This window comes from Homo sapiens, chromosome 6 (assembly GCF_000001405.40).
Source record: "Homo sapiens chromosome 6, GRCh38.p14 Primary Assembly".
NCBI classification, from domain to species: Eukaryota; Metazoa; Chordata; class Mammalia; order Primates; family Hominidae; genus Homo; species Homo sapiens.
Genome location: NC_000006.12, coordinates 12096320 through 12118819, shown reverse-complemented (window position 1 = coordinate 12118819; position 22500 = coordinate 12096320). Strand labels below are relative to the sequence as shown.

The 22500-nt window shown below is 38.4% G+C and overlaps 1 protein-coding gene across 18 annotated transcripts in view, besides 2 other annotated features; it reads right to left on the bottom strand.

The window, feature by feature from the left end:
• HIVEP1 (HIVEP zinc finger 1) overlaps positions 1 to 22500 on the bottom strand; it is a 204356-nt gene that overhangs the window by 93229 nt on the left and 88627 nt on the right. The gene's annotated exons all lie outside the window — the stretch shown is intronic.
• Positions 4441 to 4490: an enhancer, noted in NCBI's record as "active region_24007". NCBI's record gives its function as "activates an Ori minimal core promoter by ATAC-STARR-seq in GM12878 lymphoblastoid cells {active_cell/tissue: GM12878}" and the evidence as "EXISTENCE:reporter gene assay evidence [ECO:0000049][PMID:35858748]".
• Positions 18991 to 19490: an enhancer, noted in NCBI's record as "H3K4me1 hESC enhancer chr6:12099563-12100062 (GRCh37/hg19 assembly coordinates)". NCBI's record gives its function as "activates a minimal SCP1, AML or CMV promoter by ChIP-STARR-seq in primed H9 embryonic stem cells {active_cell/tissue: H9 hESC(primed)}" and the evidence as "EXISTENCE:reporter gene assay evidence [ECO:0000049][PMID:30033119]".

Genomic DNA, 22500 nt, shown 5'->3' with positions numbered 1-22500 from the left:
CATGAAGTATTGCTGATGTAGCAATTATATCAATGAACAGAAAATTATGAAACTAAAATAATCCACTTATTTGTGGTTTCTTACCAACAAAATTAAAAAGTCATAAGGTTGTAATGGGCCTTGGTTTAAAAAAAATCACCACTTTAACTCAACAAAATATTCAATGGCTATGTTTCTTTGTCATTAGCAATAGGTAGGGCAGGTAGGCAGGTAGGGAGATAGGCAGAAAGAAGGTAAAACTTATTGCAAGAGAAATGAAATCACCTTAATTTCTAGTTGTGTTGGAAATAAATCAGTATTTAAGTGACAGTGCCCACAATCTATCAACTACTGTATTTTTGAGCAATAATTACTTGCCATGATTTACTTTGGTTTCCATTTGTTGGATTGTTGGGCATATGAACAAAAAATATTCAATCGTATATTACTCTATTTGTAGAAAGCCAACTACTTAATTCTCCACTATTTTCAAATAGCTGTTGCAACGTACATATTTGAAATTCATATTAGACCAAAATGTCTACACTGTAATAACTACTTATTGAGAATAAAATTTACATTAGAAATATTCTAGTAATATTGTGACATCAGTTTATATGCTCTCATATCATAGTTTAATGAAAAAAATGCATACTATTCCATTAAAGATATATTTACCCACCATAATAAAAAAAAAAACAAAAGGGGGTCTCATAACTAAAATATTTGAGCTAAAGAACAATAGAAAAAAGTATCAGTATTATTCACTTTTACAAAATGTTGAACAAACATTTTTTTATTCTCCAATCCACTCACTCATGAAATGATGTTTTCCCACTGGTTTTCCCTTATTAAGATGAATGTAAGAAAGTCAGTGATGCACTTTTTGACTCTCATTAACTCTATCAGGCAAGTAGGCAAAGTGAAAAATGATGCTCATCAACCTGGGCTGAGTAGTCTCTCTATCCACTTCCAAAAGCTAGATGTGGGTATCATAAAGGTGAAAGCCAGGAGGCTATTAAAATAAATACAAAAACAGAGATGAGAAACCACTTGGATGAGAAGCTAGCAGAGCTGAAACACCATGGACTTAAAAATAATCTACCCATGTCAGGCCCCATCCAGGACCTATTCAACCAGAGTCTTGGACAGGGTAGGTATGCCTGTTTTGCTCTGCTTCACAAACATTTTAAGATAAACTTTTATTTTTAGATAAAGTTATGTTATTCAAAATTAAATAATGTCTTATACTCCAAAGAAAAATGCAAAATTTCAACCCAGAAATACTGTATGTGATTTAAACAACAACAACAAAAACTGTAACCTTGTACTTAAAAGAAAATGACATTGAAGTTAAGATAAAGGAATTGCTAAACTTAAGATCCATATTTCTTTATAAGAGAAACTATTTTCTATAAATCTACTGGGAGTTAAGAATTGGAAAAACACATATGTTAAATGGAACTTTTGAACTACACGTTTTGATTTTACATATAGATGACCTCCTCTCTCATTTGTCAAAGCTTATAACACTTACATTTTATCTGTATCGTTGTTTATACTTAGTTATCTATTTAATTTTAACACTTGACTGGTGCTATTCCCTTCAAAACTTTGCATACTCCCTTGTTTTCTGGCAATTTGGTTTACACCTCAGAAAACTTTTCTTCTATGATATCTTCATATACGTTTTCTGGTCAACTTTTTTTGGAATAAAGTTCTTTTATTTAGGGAAAAGGTTTTTACCTTTTGTTTTCTCTACAATTTTCTAAAGCTTTTCTCTTATGTTGACAACTGAATTGTCACACCATTAAATTCTTTACTGTTTCATATTTATTCATTAGTTTTGGACTGATAGTATTTTGTTCTCATTTTATTCCCTTAGTTCCATATTTCCCATTTCATCTCATTTTATTGTCTCATATTAAGTTTGAACTCTTGCTTAAATACATTTATGATCTTTAGTTCTGCACTTAAAAACACTTGTGTTTCTGGAGTAATATTTCCTTTAAGGCAGAATTTGGGCCTGTCTTCCACATTCTCAAGGCTCTTCTACTGCCTGAGATCATGGGGAATGGTGATCTCACTCAGCACTCAGCTGAGAACATACTCCTGACAGTCTTTTTTGAGTTGTGTTCATTCTTCTGGATTTTGTTGGATCTTCTTTCTTTAACAGGTTCACTGTCCTTGTTCAAGGGATAAAGCCCACTCTACCACTGGTGCTTGGGAGGGGAGGAGGTAGTGAGATGACCCTGGACCTTGGATCAGTCTAAATTCAAGGACTTTTTTTTTTATTGTAAGGAGGGGAGAGGCTAGTGGAGGGGATGTGAGAGATGCAAACAGAAGGACGATGGCAGGCATATGTGAGAAGAATACTGCACTATCATTTTAGAGGTGGAAGTGAAAGCAAGGTGCCTGCCTCTCCATACATTTTTCACTCTCCACCCCTTGATTCTCAAGATCTGGGGCTGAACAGCTCAGAGTGGGCAGCTAAACCATCAGGCTAGGAATTATAGACAAATACCTTCTCTCGAGAACCAAGGCCCTAGAGTGGAAGGCAGCAGACCCTTGGGTTTTCAGATAATGAAATACCTGGAATAGTTTTTTAAACTTACCCTCATCTTGATTAATTTTAAATCTATCTATTAAAGAGTGACTGGAGTTATTTTCTCTTGTCCTCTTATCTATAGAAAAGAGCACAATCATCAAACCTTGTGGCTATATCTACAACATAGTCAAGAGGATGCATAGACCATAGTGCTTCAAAGCAGAAATAAAATTGGTATGAAGAGAAGGAGGAGACAGCTGTTCACCATTAGCACTTGTGCTTTTCCATCATTTTAAAGGCAATTTGTTGTTAAGGTGAATTAAATATAAAATACATTAGAGGACACAAAGAGAAAGACCAAGCAGTAGAAGGCAGCCCAAGGATTCACATGGAGCTTATGCAATGTGATCACTCCCCACCAACCCCACCAACCAGCACCCCCCGCGAGCCTCTGCCTCAGAGGAAGTACACTGGCTTCTATTCACCACCCTGATTCCAGAAATGTTGTCATTTTGCATGTTTGTTTTTACCATTACTAAGTTTAGACATACTTGGTGTACACCAGCATTGAAACACAACCCTCTCTCCTTACACAGGGAGAACTTACAGTCAGATTGGGAAGGGAAGAGAAAGATTCAAAATAGGAGTCAGGCAGCCACTGAAAACTGTATTCTCCCACTTGTCAGTGTGCTACCGGTAATGACTGAAAATCAAGCAGAAACTCTGAGGTATCAACACATCAAAAATCCAAACACGACTTCATATAACAGATACAAAGCACACTCAGGAGAGGGACCAAAATCAGCAGCACTGCCCCTGTCAGACCACTGACCTGGGCTTCGAAAGGAAAGCCAGCACTCTTCATCAGTTAGGGAGTCAAGAACAGCTTAGAAAGACCACAGGGGCCACTTTGTTAAAAAAAAAAAAAAAAAAAAAAAAAAAGAATAGTTGGGGAAGTATAAGTTAAGATTCCTGTGTTCTATGTGAAGTCACTGACACTTTATTTTCCAAGGCACAAATCTATTTATTAGGGCTTCTATGTTTCTTTGAAGAAGAGCACCAACGAGTTTGAAATATCACTGTCAGCTGTTTTTCAGGATTACTTCTAGAGAGTAACAGATTAAAAGCAAACAGATTAAAAGGCTCAAGAGTGCATCTTAGTTGCCAATAAAGTGTGGTAAAGCATATTCTTATGGTAAGTAGTAGGGATGATAAACCACAGCTCAGAGTGTGCTTAAAATCCTGTCTTGATTGAAGGTGAACCTCCAAATAAATCTCTTTTCAGATTTACTCAGAGACATGTCAGCTGAAAAACTTCAGATCTCTTTTGGGCCTTAGGAACATAAGTAGTACCTGTTTTCTAACAATTGAGATCATGCTCGGCCAGAAGGTCAAGAGATCAGACCAGGAGGCCATTCAGAAGGCTTTTTTCAGTAGTTTGTGCAAGAGTTAAAATGCTACCCTGAACTCAGGCATCAATCTCAAACTCAATATACATGCACAGAATTGTAAACTGTAGCTGGAAATTCAGGACAAGAAATTTTCAATAGGAAATGGTTAGGCTAATTATGGCACAGCCACTTAACATAACATTATACATCCATTTAAAATAATTACAAAGATTACACAGCAATATGAAAATTATGATACATTAAGTGTACGTGCACATTCTTTTTTTTTCCCTCTAGAGAGAGGTCTGGGCTAGAGGCACAGATCTGGGAATATGCGGTGAGAGCTGTTTTTGTAAAAGGACATAAATGATAAGCCAAAGAGAATATGCTGTGGAGAGGGGAGGTCTGACATGAGAAGGATGGGTAATCCCTACACTTAGGGGTGAGCTAGAAACAAAAAGAAACAAGGGGAAATCAGAAAGATGAGACAAAACATGTGATAGTGGAACAGCCAGGAAGTGGGGGTTTAGAAACTTTTAAAAAGGAAGATGTGGCCAATAGTGTTGAATATCACATTCAGATACACAGATGAAAATTAACAAGAGGTCCCTGGGCTTGGTGGTCACTGGGACTAGGAAGACATCATTATCTCTGAAAGCAGTGTCAGCGGGGTTCTGGAGGTAAAAACCCTATCATATACCAGTAAGGAGTGAAGGAGGGCATGAGGACGCGCAGGGCCCGCAAATACAGGCGCTCTCCTGGGGATATGGCTGTAAAGTAAAAGAGAAAGACAAGACGTCAGAGTCAGGGGAAAGGAGGGCAAGGGAAGTCTTCTTTAGGATATGGGAGGGTTGAGTGTGTTTATAAACAGGTAGTGAAAGTTGGCAGAGAGAACCAGAATAAAGATACAAGACAGAAAAATTAATTAAATAAAACAAATTTAAAAATTAATTAAACAAATTAAACAAATAATGTGTGATAAACAGGTATACTCAAGAAGCTACCACATAGATGTGGGAACAACTGGTGAAGATGGAGGTAAGGAAATGCCTGGGAGAAGTTTCGTGGCAGCAGCACATCTGACTAAAGCCTACAGAGACAGGCAGAGAGGGACAAGTCCTTTCCAGTTAGGGAACAGCATGACAAGGTGAGCAGGAAAATGCATAAGACTCACCTAAGAGCAGGAAGCCAACCTTGCTGTTCATCTATTAGTAGAGTGGGAGATAGGATGGAAAAGGTATTCTACAACCAGGTTACTCTAGGCCTTGAACACAAAGCAGAAGAGACTGGAATTCACTTAGCAAGCAAAAGGAAGCTACATTCAGATCATCACCAAGTTCTTCCCATTCCTCATGCAATGTAATTCAAGCATCTTAACATGGCCAAAAGACTGCAGGGACATCTGACTCACAACTCTCCAACCTCCCTCTACACCATTTCCCCTGACTCACTCCGCTTCAGCCTGCGGTAAACTTTCTCCTCCTCGAACTGCCCCATCTCGTTGCTGCCCCTGGGATTTGTACTTGCCATCTCCTCAGCATGAAAAGCCCTCCCTACACCCAACTCTCAAGATGACAGGGTCATTTTCAACCTTCAACTCACCGCACCAGTGTTACCTCTGGGCTGTTCCTCCACTCTACCTAAGGTCGGTGTCCCTGTCCTGCCCACCCCACCCTTCTTTACAGTCATAATCTAGAATGCCCTGTTTGCCTGTTTACATGTGTATCTTCTGCCTTTGAATTAGGATGGGCTGAGGGAGTCCACACTCACTTACAGGCTCTTTAACATGGGCCCGCACCAGGTGCTCACATGAGGGGCAGGACGAGGCCAGAGAAGTGCCCCAAGCGTGTAAGCAGAGTGGACAGGCATGAAGCCAACTCTCCCTGAGAGCTTCCTCCCCCTGAGCAAAGCCTTGGGCTTTAAGCTGATAGGGAAAGGGCAGCAGATGTCACCACAGGGACAGACAGAAACACCCTGCAGCCGGGAGAAGAACAGAGGAGGACACCCTCTACCCCAGGGGAGGCAGGAAACTGTCCTGAGACCAAAATCCCACACCAATAAAATTTCAGTCCCTTGCCATGGGGGAGGGGCTGGAAACACAGGGACCGCCAAGACTGAGGCTGGACCAGGAGATGGAGCAACCCTCCCCTCCCCACCCCATCCAGAAGCCCAGCCCTGTGGGGGAAGCAGCAGCAGCCCACTGCTAGGGGGGCGGTGAGGAGGTGGGCAGGGACTCCCCCAGCCTATGGCGCAGGAGGCTGCAAGCTGAGCAGGGGCACTAGCACTGAGAAAAGCCCCCAGAGTCCCAGTCCCCGCCATAAGCACAAGGAACCGGCAGGAAAAGGAAGAATAAACAGGGTAGTAGAAATACATGAAAAAAATAATGGCCAAGAATTTTCCCCAAATAATGAAAACAACAAACCATACATCCAAAAAGCCTAAATAACCCATAACTAGGATGATTAAGAATATGATACGAAAGAATAAGCATAAAGAATAAAAAAAATACTGAGAAAAAGAAGAAAAGGGAGAAAAAGAATTTAGACAATATATTCAAACTGCTGAAAACCAAAGATAAAGAGAAAATCCTGAAAGCAGCCAGAGGGTAGAAAAACATTACACACAGAGAATAAAAGATAAAAATTAAAGCAGACTTCTCAACGGAAACCATGGTGTGATATTTTTACACTACTGAAAGAAAAAAAAATTGTCCAACCCAGAATTTCATATTGAGAAATAATTTAGCTTTCAAAAATGAAGGCCATAGCAAGATTTTTTTCAGAAAAACAAAAGCTGAGAGAATTCGTTGTCTTCAGGCCTATACTGAAATGTTAAAACTTAAATGTGGATCTATACATATAAATGAAGAGCTCTGAAAATGACAATAATAAAATTATAAAAAGAACTTTAAGAATTTTATCACTTCAAAATTTCACCGTTTAAAAGATAATACAGTGTAAAGTTGTACTGTCCAATATGGCAGCATGGTGGGTGAAATAATGGCCCTATAAAATGGCCACACCCCAACCTCTGGAACCTGTAAATGTTTCTGAATGTGGCAAAGGGGACGCTGCAAATGTGATATGGTTACGTATTTTGAGATGGGGAGATTATCCTCGGTTACTGCAGGACTCTTTCAAATTTAATTACACAATCCCATAACAATGGAGAATCTCTTAGGGCTGAAGTCAGAGGTATTGAACAACTGAAGAGGCAGGAGAGAGACAGGAAATGAGACCTGACCTGCCATTGCTGGCTTTCAAGACGGAGAAAGAGAGCTCCCGTCCAAAGAACATGGTAGCCTCTAAAAGCTGGGAATGGACTTCAGCTGACAGCTCACAAGAACATGATGACTACAGCTACAGGACTAAATTCTGCCAGTAACCTGAATAAGCAGGAAAACAGAATTTCCCCTGGAGCCTCCAGAAGACAGACCTGCTGACATCATCATTATAGCCAGGTCCTGTGTCAGGCTTCTGACCTACAGAACCACAAGACAGTAAGTACTGTGTCAACTGCTAAGTTTGTAGGAATTTGTTACGCAGCAAAAGAAAATGAATACAGGTATACCTTGCTTTGTTGAGCTTCGCAGATACTGTGCTTTTTGCATTAAGGGTTTGTGGCAACTCTGCATGGAGCAAGTCTGTCTTGGCACCATTTCTCCAAACATATGCACTCACTTCTGGTGTGTGACATATTTTTTCTAATTCTTGCAATACTTCAAACTTTTGCATTATTATTATATCTGTCATGGTGATCTTTGATCAGTGATCTTTGTTTTTACTGTTGTAATTATTTTGGGGCTGCATTAATTGTGCCCATGTAACACAGTAAACTTAATAAATGTTGTGTGTGTGTTCTCACTGCTCCATCAACTGGCCATTCCCGTCTCTCTGCCTCTCCTTGGACCTGCCTATTACCCAAGACACAACAATGTTAAAATTATGCCAGTTAATAAGCCTACAAGGGCCTCTAAGTGTTCAAGTGAAAGGAAGAGTTGCATGTCTCTAGCTTTAAGCCAAAAGCTAGAAATGATTAAGCTTACTGAAGAAGGCGTGTTGAAAGCTGAGATAGGCTGAAGGCTAGGATGCTTGTACCAGCCAGTAAGCCAAGTTGTGAATGCAAAGGCAAAGTTATTGAAGGAAATTAAAAGTGCTACTCCAGGAAACACCTGAACGACAAAAAAGCACAACAGTCTTATTGCTGATATGAAGAAAATTTTAGTGGTTTGGACAGAAGATGAAACCAGCCACAACATCCCTTAAGCCAAAGCCTAACCCAGAGAAAGGCCCTAACTCTCTTCAATGCTATGAAGGCTGAAACAAGTGAGGAAGCTGCAGAAGAAAGGCTGACAGCTAGCAGAGGTTGGCTCAAGAGATTTAAGGAAAGAGGCCATCTCCATGACATAAAAGGGCAAGGTGAAGCAGCAGGTGTTAATGTAGAAGCTGCAGCAAGTTATCCAGAAGATTTTGCTAAGATAACTGAGGAAGGTGGCTACAGAAAACAACAGATTTTCTATGTAGATAAACCAGCCTTCTATTGGAAGAAGATGCCATCCAGGGCTTTCATACTAGAGAGAAGTCAATGCCTGGCTTCAAAGCTTCAAAGGACAGGCTGACTCTCTTGCTAAGGGCTAATACAGCTGGTGGCTTTAAGTTGAAGCAAACGCTCATCTACTATTCTGAAAATCCATAAGACCCTTAAGAATCATGCTAAATCTACTCTGCCTGTGCTGTACAGATGGAACAACAAAGCCTGGATGACAGCACATCTGTTTATAGCATGGTTTACTGAATATTTTAAGCCCAATATTGAGAGTGACTACTCAGAAAAAATAGATTTCTTTTAAAATATCACTGCTCATTGAATAAACCTTGTCATTCAAGAGCTCTGATGGAGATGTATAAGAAGATGAATGTTGTTTTCATGCCTGGTAATACAATGTCCATTTTTCAGCCCACGGATCAAGGAGTAATTTTTACTTTCAAGGCTTACTATTTAAGAAATTCATTTCATAAGGTGATAGCTGTCATAGACAGTGATTCCTCTGATGGAGCTGGGCAAAGCAAATTGAAAGCCTTCTTGAAAGGATTCACTATTCTAAATGCCATTAAAAGCATTCATGATTGATGAGAGGAGGTCAAAATGGCAACATTAACAGGAGTTTGGAAGAAGCAGATTCCAGTCCTCAAGGATGACTTTGAGGGATTCAAGACTTCAGTGGAGGAAGTCCCCGCAGATGTGGTGGAAACAGCAAGAGAAGCAGAACTAAAGTGGAGCTTGAAGATGTGACTGAATTGCTGCAATCTCACGATAAGGCTTGAATGGATAAGGAGATGCTTCTATGGACGAGCAAAGAAAGTGGTTTCTTGAGATGAAATCTATTTCTGGTGAAGATGCTGTAAACGCTGCTGAAATGACAACAAAGGATTTAGAGTACTACATAAACACAATTGATAAAGCAGTGGCAGACTTTGAGAGGACTGACTCCAATTTTGAAAGAAGTTTTACTCTGGGTGAAATGCTATCAAACACCATCCTATGCTACAGAGAAATCTTTCATGAAAGTAAAAGTCAAGGTGGCAAACTTCACTGCTTTAAGAAATGGCGGCCGGGCCCTGTGGCTCACGCCTGTAATCCCAGCACTTTGGGAGGCTGAGGCGGGCGGAACACGAGGTCAGGAGATTGAGACCATCCTGGCTAACATGGTGAAATCCCGTCTCTACTAACAAAAAATTTAAAAAAATTTAAAAAATTAGCCGGGCGTGGTGGCAGGCGCCTGTAGTCCCAGGTACTCGGGAGGCTGAGGCAGGAGAATGGCGTGAACCTGGGAGGCGGAGCTTGCAGTAAGCCAAGATCGCGCCGCTGCACTCCAGCCTGGGCGACAGAGCGAGAGTCTGTCTCAAAAAAAAGTAAAAATAAAAATAAAAAATAAAAAGAAATGGCAATGAGAGGTGACAGCATGCTGGCAGTCCTGAGAGCCCTCGCTCCCTCTCGGCGCCTCCTCTGCCTGGGCTCCCACTTTGGCGGCACCTGAGGAGCCCTTCAGCCCACCGCTGCACTGTGGGAGCCCCTTTCTGGGCTGGCCAAGGCCAGAGCCGGCTCCCTCAGCTTGCAGGGAGGTGTGGAGGGAGAGGCGCGAGCGGGAACCGGGGGTGCGCGCGGCGCTTGCAGGCCAGCTGGAGCTCCGGGTGGGCGTGGGCTTGGCGGGCCCCGCACTCGGAGCAGCCGGCCGGCCCTGCTGGCCCCGGGCAATGAGGGGCTTAGCACCCAGGCCAGCGGCTGCAGAGGGTGTACTGGGTCCCCCAGCAGTGCCAGCCCACCAGCGCTGCGCTCGATTTCTCGCCGGGCATTAGCTGCCTTCCTGCGGGGCAGGGCTCGGGACCTGCAGCCCGCCATGCCTGAGCCTCCCACCCCCTCCGTGGGCTCCTGCGCAGCCCAAGCCTCCCCGATGAGCGCCGCCCCCTGCTCCATGGCGCCCAGTCCCATTGACCACCCAAGGGCTGAAGAGTGCGGGCGCAGTGCACGGGACTGGCAGGCAGCTCCACCTGCAGTCCTGGTGCAGGATCTACTGGGTGAAGCCAGCTGGGCTCCTGAGTCTGGTGGGGACGCGGAGAATCTTTATGTCTAGCTCAGGGATTGTAAATACACCAATCGGCACTCTGTATCTAGCTCAAGGTTTGTAAACACACCAATCAGCACCCTGTGTCTAGCTCAGGGTTTGTGAATGCACCAATTGACACTCTGTATCTAGCTACTCTGGTGGGGCCTTGGAGAAACTTTATGTCTAGCTCAGGGATTGTAAATATACCAATAGGCACTCTTTATCTAGCCCAAGGTTTGTAAACACACCAATCAGCACCCTGTGTCTAGCTCAGGGTTTGTGAATGCACCAATTGACACTCTGTATCTAGCTACTCTGGTGGGGCCTTCGAGAACCTTTGTGTCCACACTCTGTATCTAGCTAATCTGGTGGGGACGTGGAGAACCTTTGTGTCTAGCTCAGCGATTGTAAACGCACCAATCAGCGCCCTGTCAAAACACACCCCTCAGCTCTACCAATCAGCAGGATGTGGGTGGGGCCAGATAAGAGAATAAAAGCAGGCTGCCCGAGCCAGCAGTGGCAACCCGCTCGGGTCCCCTTCTACGCTGTGGAAGCTTTGTTCTTTCACTCTTTGCAACAAATCCTGCTGCTGCTCACTCTTGGGTCCACACTGCCTTTATGAGCTGTAACACTCACCACGAAGGTCTGCAGCTTCACTCCTGAGCCAGCGAGACCACGAACCCACCAGAAGGCAGAAACTCCGAACACATCCGAACATCAGAAGGAACAAACTGTGGACACATGCCTTTAAGAACTGTAACACTCACCGTGAGGGTCCGCAGCTTCATTCTTGAAGTCAGTGAGACCAAGAACCCACCAATTCTGGACACAGCAACAGCCACCCAACCTTTAGCCACCAGTACCCTGATCAGTCAGCAGCAATCTGCATCGAGGCAAGACCCTCTACCAGCAAAAAGATTATGACTGGATAAAGACTCAGATGATCATTCACATTTTTGGCAATATTTTTTAAATTAAGGTATTCTCATTGTTTTATTAGACATAATGCTATGAAAGCCAATGCTCATCTGCACACTTACACGGATTACAGTATAATGTAAACATAACTTTGATATGCACTGGGAAATAAAAAAAATTCACGTAACCTGCTTTATTGCAGTATTTGCTTTACTGCAGTGGTCTAGAACTAAACCCATGGCATCTCTAGGGTATGCATATTCAAGGAGCACTAGGTACAGTGCCTATTGGCTACTTAAATTTTAAAACAAAGTATGCAGTTCAAAAAAGTTAAGAGGACATAGAAAGTATGTTCCCTGAACACAACAAAATTAAACTAGAAATAGCAGAAAGATACCTGAAAAACCTCCAAATATTTAGAAAGTTATCAATACAATTCTGAACAGCCCAGGGGTCAAACAGAAAGTCACAAGAGAAATTAGAAAAATCAAAATAAAACTAGCAAACTAAGAAAATACGATAAAGAATATCTCTCATGCCAATGATACGCAATACTCAAAGCCAGATCCTAGAAAAATCTCCTTCTGAGGTCTGGGATAATAAGAGGATTCCTGCAATGGCCACTTATTTTTAATCACTTCTGTAGACTATTCAACTAACACAATGAAAGAATAAAAATCAATGAAATATAAATGACGGTAAGAAGGAAAATAGCATTATTTCCTGATAATAAAATGGTCTCCTAGAGAACCCATAAGAAATCACTGACAATCTATTATACCTAACAGAAGAGTTCAGTACAGAAACACACAAATATCAGTCTTTTTCCTTATGCCATAAATGATTAGTTAGAAAATACAATGGAAAATATTCTTCGACTAATATTAATAAAAATATTAAAATGCCATGAAATAATTTCGCACAGAAAATTCTAAACATACAGAAAATTTTAAAGTTTTCAGTATGAGTTTTTGTTTAAAAGTGGCTTACATAATAAAGAAACACACCATCCCCCGGAAAAAAAATAATATTTTGAGTACGTCAATTTGCAAATATCCAAGTTTTATAAAATTTCAAACAATAAAAAATTTTACTCTTTTAAGAAATGTAACATGCCTCCAATCTCCATTTGAGAAAATAATCACTCTAAATTGAACAATAAAATGCTGAAAGAAAATTATGTAAAGACAGCTTCATGGAAAAGATATTAAATGGTTAAGACAATATTTTCTCAAGATCAGATCAATGGATAAACCAAAAATACATAAAAAGGCCCTATCATGTATATGTATATATGTGTGTGTGTATATATATGTATATATGTGTGTGTGTATATATATGTATATATGTGTGTGTATATATATGTATATATGTGTATATATATATGTATATATGTACTTAGTAAATGAAAAAGGTGCCATATTTCAAAATTTTTGGGAAAAGAGATTCAAGTCTCATACACTGGATGATAAAGTAGAAACAGATCTTAAGCAAACAGCATGTACCAAAATAAGTTCAATAATTCAATGTAAGAAAGAAAACCACAAAAAGAATAAGAAAATAGGAATAAATATTTAGCTCACCTTGGGCTGGGATTACACTTTCTAAGCAAAAAAGCAAGCAAAGCAATTTGAATACATAAAAACTAAGGAGTGTGTCTGTGTGAGAGCGTGTGTGTATGTAATTTTCATTTTAAAAAGCAAGTGAGAAACTGAGAAAGTATCTGCAACATGTAAGGCAAAGGTTAATATGATAATGTATAAAGAACTTTTATAAGGGACTTATAGTAATTAAGAATTAAGTAATTAAGTAATTCAGATGATCCTCCTCTCAGGACAACAGATTACCTAGACAAAATATAAACATGATCAGCTTGAAGGCAATTAAGCAATAAAAAGATAGTGAAAAGTTACTGAGCCAAGATCCTGGAGAGGATAAAAGTCCAAACAGGGGAGATCAGTAGCTGGGGCTCCTTTTGATTAGGGAGGGTTTGTCTATTCAAAAGAGCAGCTAAAAGGCTGGGCGGTTCTGACAATCTAAAGGAGCTATAAAGGTACAAATGACAGAATCCAGGGCATGCCATGCATGGAGTCCGCATTAAAACCTGCATGTTTTCAGCTGAGAACCTAAAGGGCTTCATTCTAGGAATAAGGGAAAATTGCATAAAGATCAAGCTTCACATAAACTGCAACTCACTTTCAATGGCCCCAAAAATCTCACACTCTAAAACTCAATTAAGATGAATCTTAGATTGTCAGTTCTCCTAGAAGCCTGGCGAAGAAAACTGAAATCTTCTTTGAAGGAAGATATTGTCAACTTAGGCTTAAAACATTTCTATAATTTTTAAAATAAAATGTCCATCATATATTCAAAGATAACCAGGCATCTGAGAAAAGAATTCAACATGAAAGAACCAACATTATAAACAGATTTACAGGGGTCCAATATATTGGAATGAATACACAAAGACTTTAAAATAAATGTGCTTACTTAAGGACAAGAATACTGAAAATTTCAGAAAACTGGAAGTATAAAGAGACACAGCATATTTGAAAAGCCAAATATAAATTACAGAATTGAAAAAAATACCATAATAGAACTAAGATAGATTTAAATTTAGATTAGAACAACTGAAAAAGACAGTTGCTAGGTGCAGTGGCTCACAGAGGTTGCCACTCCCAGCTACTCAGGAGGTTGAGGCAGGAAGATTGCTTGAGGCCAGAAGTTCAAGACCAGGCTGAAGAATATAGCAAGACTTTGTCTCTAAAACAAAAACAAAAACAAAAAACAAATATAATCTGGGTGCAGTGGTGCATGCCTTCAGTTCCAGCTACCTGGGAGGCTGAGGCAAGAGGATTGCTTGAGCCCAGGTGGTTGAGGCTATAGTGAGCTTATATCAGCCTGGATGACTGAGCAAGACCCTGTCTCAGAAAAAAAAAAAAAAAAAAAAAAAAGGAAAGAAAAGGAGAGAGAGAGAGAGAGAAACGAAGAGAGAGAGAGAAAGAGAGAGAGAGAGAATAAGTCAGATGAAAACAACACAGAATAAAGTATTAGGAGACCAAAGGATACAATATCCAGAAAGTAACAAAACAAAGAAGGTGGAAAGATACACAATGAGGCAGAGGCAATATGTAAGGAGATAAAGTCTAAAAATTGTTAAAAATGAATGAAATGCATGAATCTACAGATTCAAGAGCACTCTAAACCACAAGCAAGACAAATATAGAGAAATCATACCTGTACACATCACTTTGAAACTATGAAAGTCAAAGACAAGGCCCAAAATCTTAAAAATAATTTTTAAAATTACTAGTAATTTTTAAAAGCCAGATTACCTTCAAAGAAGCAATAGAGTGACACCTCTACACCAACAATGTACTCAGGAAAATAAAATGCCAGGCTAGATTTTCTATGCTTCCAAACCCAGCAAGAATATTTTCCAACAATGAAAGTGAAATAGACCTTTTCTAATATATGACACTTGAAAGAATTTGCCACAACAAACTTGCACAAATGGAAAACTAAAAGAAACTCTTTAAAATTATGAGAATATTGTATTCTATTTTAACTTAGACAACCTGAATAACACATAAAATTTAACTTATATTATAAATAAAATTAGCCCAAGAAAGCAAAAACTTTAACAGGTCTCTGAGGAAGAAAATAAGAATACACTATTGAAGACCTACACAATACTCTTCTCCTTCCCTCAAAAACACTCAAAACTTTCAAGTAACGTATATTAAATTTTCCAGAATATTAAATATAATAACAGCTGCCTAATACAGTTAAGTCCAGATAGATAAAAAAAAAAAATAGTAAGTCTCCATGTGTGGCACAGCCATTCATGCAGTTGTCTAAACTAGAAACTATCCTGGACTCTTGCATCCAGTTACCACTTCCGCTCACTTTTTCTCAAATCATCACTGTTCACATATGTCCTCTGGTGAGCTCTGAAGACAGGGAAGCCAGGGTCTAGGTTCTGGCTCTGCCGCTTCAGCTATGTGACCTTGGGTAAGTTCTATTATTGAGCCTTCATTATCTGCAAAACACAGATAATGGCACCTCATGGGGTTGTGAGAATTATTTGAGATAATGCATGTAGACAGCTTGGCATTGTGCCCAGAACTTCAATTTTAGTTCATTATTATTGCTTCTGTTGATATTATTATTATTATTATTATTATTATTATTACATAATCAACACCATCGCTGGTTGCAATTGCAATACTAGGACAAAATGGCTACACCACTATTTCAGCATGTATATTTCTATCATACTACAGGGCCGGGATTAACACTGGTATTTTAGCTTCAGTGAAACTAAATGTTTAATACCCTTCTCATAAAAAAACTCATAAACATATATTTTATTTGATGTTTTAAAATAACTTTCTTTAAAAAGCTATTATTCTAATTATTAAAATACAAAATATTTAAAGTAGACTGAACACTATTAAAATAAAACAAACATAAAAAAACAAAATCATTTTATAAGTATGTACTTAAGAACTGACAACATAACAACACTGGGTCACAAGTGTATTTCTGTACTAAAAGTTTCAGCTCTTAACATGCTCTGACTCTACCTTAAGAAAATGAGATCAAATGTTATTTCTGTATCTTCAAATAATGCGCTTCTTGCTTGATATTTACGAAGATGTTTTTTACTTTGAGGTTTTTCTTGGAGGAATTGTAGTTGTACATCAAGCTGTATTTTTGTTTCAAAGAAAACATTTCCAGAGGCACTTATCTTTGCTAGTTTCCTCATGTAGAGGAATTCAAATGCAGAATTACCTGTTATCAGTATGACAGCAATGTTCCTAGTCTACTTGTCTGGAAAGCCTTGGTGTCATTTGTACAACAGAAGTTTGGTTTGCTGACTGACATTTCTCCTCCTCTTAGGGACAATGTGGGACTGGAAGAATTTTTTCACATCAGTACATTTTTCTGTTACTGAGTTCTAATTTCATTCCATGGCAGTTGGAGCAAACTATATTATTTCAATTCTTTTTGATTTAATGATCAACTGTTTTATGGCCTAGGTGATGGTCTATCCTGAAGAATATTCCATGTATACTGGAGAATAATGTGTATTCTGTTGTTCTTGGGTGGAGTATTTAGGTCTACTTGGCTTACAGTGTTGGTAGTCAAGCCTTCTATTTCCTTGCTGACCTTCTGTCTAGAAGATTCCATCCATTGTTAACAGTGGGGTAATGAAGTCTCCAACTGTTATTGTTGAATTGTCTATTTCTCCCTTCATTTTTATCAGTTTTTGCTTCATGTATTTTAAGGCTCTATTATCAGGTGGATACATGTTTATAACTGCTATACCTTCCTGATGGATTGACACTTTCATCATTAGAAAATGTCCCTCTTTACCTCTAGTAACATTTTTTATTTTGAAGTCCCTTTTGATATTAACATAGCCACTCCAGCTTTCTTATGCTTGTTATTTGCATGATACATCTTTTCCTATCCTTTCACTTTCAATATATTTGTGTCTTGGATCTAAAGTGAGTGCCAGTGCAGACAGTGTATAGTCAGATCTTGTTTCTTTAATCTGGTCTGACAATCTATGCCTTTTGATTAGACTGTTTAATCCATTCATATTATTGATATTATTGACACAGCTGAATTTGTGCCTGCAATTTAACTTTTTGTTTTCTGTATGTCTTGTGTCTTTTTTTGTTCCTCTACTTCTCCTTTAATGTTTTCTTTTACATTAAGTGAATATTTTCAAATGTAATATTTAATTTCTTTAATAATTTTTTCATTTATAGAGATTTTTGATTATTTCCTTTGTAGTAGCTCTAGGACTTACCTCACATCTTCAGAGTCTCTTTAGATTTATATTAACTTAATTCCAGTGAGGTTTATATTAACTTAATTCCAGTGAGATGTGGCAACATTATGCCTATATAGCTCTATTTTCCTTTTTCCTCCTTTTGTTATATACATATTGTATTTATACATGTTATATACATATTGTATTTATAAATGTTACAGTTCAAAAATACACTGTTATCATTACTTAACTATGTCTTTTAAACACTCCACTAAGAGAAGAAAACCAAGTATATACTTAGAGTATTTGTTATACTAACCTTCTTATTTGCCTTTTCAATAAGCACTTTGCCTGACTCCTGACAAGTACTTCACAGAAAGTGGTAAGAACAATTTTGTAACTCAACACAGGTCCTCTTTGGCTATGATATAGCTGGGTTAGCACAAAAGGTAATAGAAAAGTGACAACTGATGTGAAGTGTCATGAAATAAATACATTTTCTATTTTTATAACTTGCTCTAATGTTGTACAGTATGGTTTGTACAAAAGTAGCAGAAAGCTGAAAGACAAAAATCTAAATGTTGCTAACAAGATAACTGACACTGATGAGAAAACCAAACACATACTATCTCTCATCCAAAATGCTTGGGACCAGAAATGTTTTGGATTTCTGATGTTTTTTTCAGCTTTTGGAATATTTGCATTATACTTGCCGGCTGAGCATCCCTATTCTGAAAATCTGAAATCCGAAATGCTCCAATGAGCATTTCTTTTGAGCATCATATTAGTGCTCAAAAAGTTTCCAATTTTGAAGCACTTTAGATTTCAGATTTTCAGATTAGGGATACTCACCCTGTATTCTGCTGTTATTTTTACAGGTTTAAGAAAATCACTTAGCAGAAGGTTGATTCAGCCTTCAACTAAAACACTAGGTTTACAGAATAATAGTTACATTTCTCTGCCCTGAGTCTTTCAAATTTATATCCTCTTGCTCCACTTTCATGAGAAAGATTCCAAAGACTTCAGTGATTTTTCTAAGAAAGTTCTAGGATCTCTAAACTTAGGATTAGCGTCCAGTCAGTGTTATGTCTGTCTCTTACTGTATACAGTAGCTGAATCCACAAGAATATAGTATGATAATGATTTTTCCAAGCAATGTGTGCTGTGGACCACTCCACTACTAAACAAATATTCAGGAATTCTGCAAGCCGCAACCATTCGGTAGGTTGAAATCATCCATGGTGGGGAGTATTTTTACCACTTTGAAAAATGCTATAAATTGTTAACTCCCTCCCCAACCAACCCCTCTAAGCCTGCCCCAGCTAGCAGATAGTTTACTAGCACTCCAACTGACCCTACATCAGCAAGAAAAGGTTAAATCCAGGGCAATACTGTCTATTACCAGAACAGGGAAATGTGAACTCCCCTTGATTAACATTTCTACCACCAGGACGTTTGAGTTGTAGTGTTAACACCAGAAATCTGGAATCCTCAGTTCTTCACACTATCACAACCTCCCACCAGGTTTACAAAGATGTTATGATATCACAAAATAACTACACTGAGAGTAGTCTGAGTCTTCCTGATTCAATGAAGTCATAAGAAAGGATTCATTTGGAGCTGTTAAAGAAGGAACCTTTTATTTTTGTGACGACATACACAAACTATTTGTATACATCACTGCATTAGATAATTTAATATGACAAAAGAAACAACTTACTTCAGAAAAGCAATCTAGATTACATATCTAACCACACTTAAGAAATCAAAGCAATAATAACGCACTGTTTACAAATCCTGCCTGTTAAGTAAAGGAATCCATCCTTTCTGACACCTCTACCATCCATCATCGATTCAATAAACATTTGTCAAATGCCTACTACATGCACTAAGAACTGTAGTAAGTGCTGTGCTATGACTGTGGGCAAAACTGTATAGGGGAAGATGTGAGGAGACCCCAGGCAGAGGTGAGAGGGTGAGGGTGTGGAGAAGTGAGTTGCATCTATGTTACCACGTTTTTTCTTCACATATAAGGGTCATGTTAAACAGTTACTAAATGGCTAACTACATGATGTGGGGTGGGCCTGCTGAAATAAACACACTCCTCCAGGCCAAAAACTCAGTGAGGCCGGGCGCGGTGGCTCACGCCTGTAATCCCAGCACTTTGGGAGGCCGAGGCGGGCGGATCACGAGGTCAGGAGATCGAGACCATCCCGGCTAAAACGGTGAAACCCCGTCTCTACTAAAACTACAAAAAATAGCCGGGCGTAGTGGCGGGCGCCTGTAGTCCTAGCTACTTGGGAGGCTGAGGCAGGAGAATGGCGTGAACCCGCAGTGAGCCGAGATCCCGCCACTGCACTCCAGCCTGGGCGACAGAGCGAGACTCCGTCTCAAAAAAAAAAAAAAAACTCAGTGACATTTCCCTCTGGCTCCTGCTCCTTCACAGTGGGCTGGACTCCCAAAGCGTCTGCTCCTCGGGCTCCTGCAGTCCACCTCCCACCGCAGATCAGGCCATGCATGAATGTTACTACATACATTTGTTTTCATTGCAATGCTTTTAAGTCCTCTTCTTGCCCTTCCCACTCATCCACAGAATCTTATTTGCTACTTCCAACGCTTTTCTTAAATAAAATAATTTTATACCCCATTGCTTGGTGGTCAGGGAAAAATTCTAAGCTACATCCTTCAAAGTTTGATAAATTTCCTGCATATAGCATAGCTCCACAAAATACCCTTTGCACAGTGAAGCAATAAAAGAACACCATATTGTTGGTTAAATACTTTGTTATCTCCATGCTTTGCTTTTTAATTTTTTAAATTCATTTTATAGACTTCCTCCCAGTTCTTTATCTGTCTTCAATTTATCTGCCTCCTCTCACTTTTATTTTCTACTATTTCTGCCCTCAAATTATATTCTTCAGGTTTATGCAACATGTCTGCTCTCTTCTCTGAGGAAACATGAGAAAAAGAGCAAATCTCTACGTAGGCAAAATATATACAAGCTTATCTCTTTCTTTCTTTTTGGTCTCATACAGAGAATACAGTAGCAAACCTGGGGAAAAGCCTAAATAGATGAACAGCAACACATATTATCCTTATAAGTCACTCTGTGGCATTATTTATATAGAAAATACTCAGATATATGGCATGAAGTCAATTACCTAAGAAGCAAAGTGAAACAAACAAAACCTGGGTTTTTCTCCCCATACCACTCTTCCGTGAATCCCCAAATGAGCCTCTAGGATAAGATTCATTTCTTTGTTTTTCACAGTCCTCAGGGATTCTGTCAAAGCAGCTCAAATCCATATGCCATTACCTTAAATACTTTATCTTTCTTGTCAAAAAATGTACCAGTGGACATAAATATGTATTTAATATAATGTAAGACAAATTTTAAAAAACATTTTAATCCCTCTAAAATCAGGATGCATCTTCTAATCAATTATAAGAGCACTGTGTCATAACTTAATTGGCAGTGACTTTTCTCCTTGCTAAAGGATGCATAAAATCATTGTGCATCTTGCAATCAATAGCATTTTGAAGTCAATGAAATATGCTATAAGTATGCACAAGAATGTGAGTCTTTCTATGAATCATCCTATAAAATTAAAATCAGGTTAGCTACTTAAGTCTCTAATGAATGGCTCAATAGACCATGATAAGTAACACTGTTAGGAAATACTGAGAATTTTTGCTTTCATATTTCAAAAGGAGCAATGTTTTAGGATTCTGAACTTAAACACAGTGAGGACAGATATTTGAAGACATTTATTTTACATTAATGTACTACAAAATGCTTTGTTTATATCATTATGCAAATCATCTTTCATAAAGCTGGCAGTCTATCTGAAAGGCAATGATCTCTTGGGATTTGGGATTTTCAAATTTCTCAAAATATTGACATGGTTAACACATGATACCTTTAACTTATATAAATGACACAAATAATTAAAATACTAATTTCCCAGTAATTCAAGCTCACAGCATTCACTGTCTATTACACTAAGAGAATACTTCGTAAGATGTGAATATTTAAATTTGAAATTTTAATAGTAAAAAAAGGAGATGACTTTCTTTTCTAAAAAATAAAAAATCTGTTACTGTTTTCCCAAGGGAAATTTGTTAGGCACTGCTGCCAGTCTACCTCATGAATTTTTGCTCTACCAATTCAGGATTTATGATGATTTGGGTAAGAGCTGGGTTAAAGCTTGCGGGCTCCTTTAAGGTTTAGACTTTTTCTTTCCTATCTATTTCTCAGGGCAAAAAAAAAAAAAAATGGCTGGTGCACAACAACAATTTACTAAATAAATTAATGAGAGGTACAAGGAAAAAACATAATTTTTAGGGCATTTAACATTAAGAGACTAAGATGTACAAATACTGTTTTTTAAAATAAACCTCTATTAAACAGATTCACTAAAATATATTATTTCCTAATAAGAAACCCAAGGACCACACTGGTTAAAAAATAAACTAGTTAACATCAATATAATATTAAAATAATAAAACTGCATTCCATTTAAAATACAGAATTCCATTCAGACATCTCACAAAAATACTATACTAGCCTTTCCTCTAGCCATATCCACATGAGCTTTCATTTTGTAAATTGTCAATACCCTTCTAAGGTAAGCCTATCAAGTTTTGTTTTATTGTACAAATGTTCTCCCAGTTTTAAAACATTTTCACCTTCTCTCTTATGGTATTGACATTCTTCATTTTAATTTAATAAAATCTGTCCATCTTTTCTACTATACTACCTAAATTTCAGTATTACATGGGAAGGACTTTGTCATCCCTAATTACAAGAATATGTCCTTGTATTTTCTTAATTATACTCAGCAGAATTTTTAAGGAAGAGTGTCATTGGCAATAAAGCATGGCCTTATTAACATAAAATATTTATTCGAAATTAGCCTTCGTTTTAAAAAATGTTATGTGTGGTAATTAAATTTTTTTTTAAATGAGAGTCACCATTTTTCACCCCTTGGAAACTCATTCACATTATCTTCAAAAATATTATTATATTTTTTTAATAATATCATTGTAAAATGAATAAAAATATTCATTTTTTAATGTAGAAAAGTAGGCGAGAAACTAGCATTTTTACTGACACACCAATTAGAGTTCATGATCCAATGGAGCCACTCTCACTTCTGACTTAGTCTCATTTTCCACAGGAACCTAACTTCCCTCAAGCTTCCCCAGACAAGAGAAGCATATTTCAGGGCATAAATCATGCCTATGTTAACAAAAATCCCACTTATCAACT